A 2,592-nucleotide genomic window follows, 5' to 3' on the forward strand; every position below is an offset into this window, starting at 1 on the left:
AAACAAAAATACTAATGGTGGGGTGACACCAACCAGATGGCACAACAGAAAGCCCTAGCTCACTCTTTCTCCACAAACACATTGATTCAGTAACAATTCAAGTACAAATTATCTTTATGAGAAATCCAGAACTAATTGAAAGGTTCCTGCACCCTAGGAAAATGTGAAACCAGACTCCCTAAAGCCAGTAGAGAGATTGGGGACATTTTCTTATCAGAGACCCTGCCTTGCCCTGGTACAAAGCTCTGTGATCAGAAAGAGACTCCTAGATCTTAGTTTCATCCTAGGGAAGGAGTAGTTGGTTTACATATCCAGCACTCCAACTTTTCTGGAGGGTTTCTGCAGATGACTAGCTTCTGTCTTGCCAGCCTTGAAGCTCTGATTGGTCTGGCACTGTCCAGCCACCCAGGGGAAATAGAAATGGCAGCTTAGGCTGGTAAACACTATAGACTCTCCTCCCTGCTCAGCACAGGACAAGTAGACAAAAATTCCCCACCTCTCAGCTTCCCTCTGGGGAGAGTTGATCCATGGTTCTAACTTTCCAATTTATCCAAGGCTACTCAAAGAACTGTCATCTAACTTGCAAGTCTTGGAGCTCCGATAAGTCTGGTCAGTCTAGCTACCCAGGGGAGAACAGAGATGGTGGTTTAGACTGTAAATGCCATAGCCCTTTTCCCCTAGCTCAGGAGTACACTAGTGGACAAAATCCTCACCTGTCTACTTCCTTCTGGGGAGGTAAAAAGTTTGTATAAGCCCCCAGAATCTCTGGCCAAGATGACTGGTGGGCATCTTCTCCTTTATGAGGCCAGATCATGAAGACTCAGAGAGGTGCTTGTTTTGCCTAATGCACAGACAACAACACAGATAATCCAAAAACAGAAGAAGAAGGAGGAAAAGGAGGAGGAGGAGGAAGAGGAGGAGGAGGAGAAGGAAGAAGAAGAACCAGGCAAAGATGTTCCAAACAAAGCAAAAGATAAATTTCTAGAAACCAGCTTTAATGAACTGGAGTTATTAACTCACAGAGAATTCAACATAAAAATGCTGTCATAAAAAATGCTCACTGAGGTCAAGAAAACAATGCATGGAAAAAGTAAGAATTTTAACAAAGAGATAGAAAATACAAAAAATACCAAACAGAAGTTATGGAGCTAAAAAGGACAAAAATTGAACTGAAAATATGCACTAGACGGATTCAACAGCAGACTACATCAAACAGATAAAAGGATCAGTAAATCTGAAGACAGATTATTGAAAATAATTTGGTCAGAGGAGCAAAAAGAAAAAGGAATAAAAAAGAGTGAATAAAATGTAAGGAACTTATGGGACACTATCAAGCAGTTTAATATATACATTATGTGGTCCAAGAAGTAGAGAGAGAGCAAGAAAGAAAAAGAGAGCTAACTCAAAGAAATAATGACTGACAAATTCCAAAATCTGGGGAAGAAAATGGACTTCCATATCCAAGAGGCCAAAGAGACACAAAATAAGACAAACATAAAGAAATCCATATTAAGACATGTTATCATCAAATTGTCAAAAAACAAAGAGAGAATTTTGAAAGTAGCACAAGAAAAGCAACTTGTCACGTACAAGGGAACCTCCATAAGAATATCAGATTTTCATCAGAAACCTTGAAAGCCATAAGAAAGTGAGATTATATATTCCAAGGGCTGAGAGAAGAAAAAAGAAAAACACTGCAACTGTTAACCAAGAATACTATACCCAGCAAAACTGTTTTTCAATAATAAAGGAGAAATAAACCCGTTCCCAGACAACCAAAAGCTAAGGAGGGTCATTATTGCTAAATCTGCCTTACAAGAAGTGCTCAAAGGAGTTCTTATATTTGAAACAAAAGGATGGTAAACAACAACACAAGAACATATGAAAGTATAAAACTCACTGGTAAAGGTAAATATATACACAAATACAGAACACTATGTTACTCTAATGGTGGTGGGTAAGTCGCTTTTAATTCTAGTATAGAGTTAAAAGACAAAAATAATAATAACAGAAGAGGAAAATTCCTATTTTCTCTCTATTCTACTTTACTGTTCACACAGGACACTTTTGACACCAGATGTAGGTTTCCCACACCAAGTAATTCTGACACTAACTGCCTGGAGTTAGCACAGACCCCACAGGCCAAGGGCTCAGTCCCACAAGACTACCCATTCCCTTCCCACTTCAGATGCAAATCACAAGGGTGTTTCTCCAGGTAACTGAATACTTGTATCTGACTTGACTACAAATCAGAGGTTCCCAGGACCCCCCTCCTCAGGCTTGATCATTTGCTAAAACAGCTCACAAAACTCAGGAAAATAGTTTATTTACTAGATTACTAGTTTATTACAAAAGATATATTAAATAATACAAACGAACATCCAGATGAAGAAATACATAGGGTGAAGTCCAGAAGGATCTCAAGCACAGGAGTTTCTGTTCCCATGGAGTTTTGGAGCGTGCCACCTTGCTGGCACATAGTGTGCTCTTGTTCACCAACCTGGAAGCTCTCTGAACCCTATCCTTTTGGGTTATCATGGAGGCTTCAATTTGTAGTCATGATTGATTAAATCATTGGCCATTGGTGATTAA

Source organism: Homo sapiens, chromosome 12 (assembly GCF_000001405.40).
Source record: "Homo sapiens chromosome 12, GRCh38.p14 Primary Assembly".
NCBI classification, from domain to species: domain Eukaryota; kingdom Metazoa; phylum Chordata; class Mammalia; order Primates; family Hominidae; genus Homo; species Homo sapiens.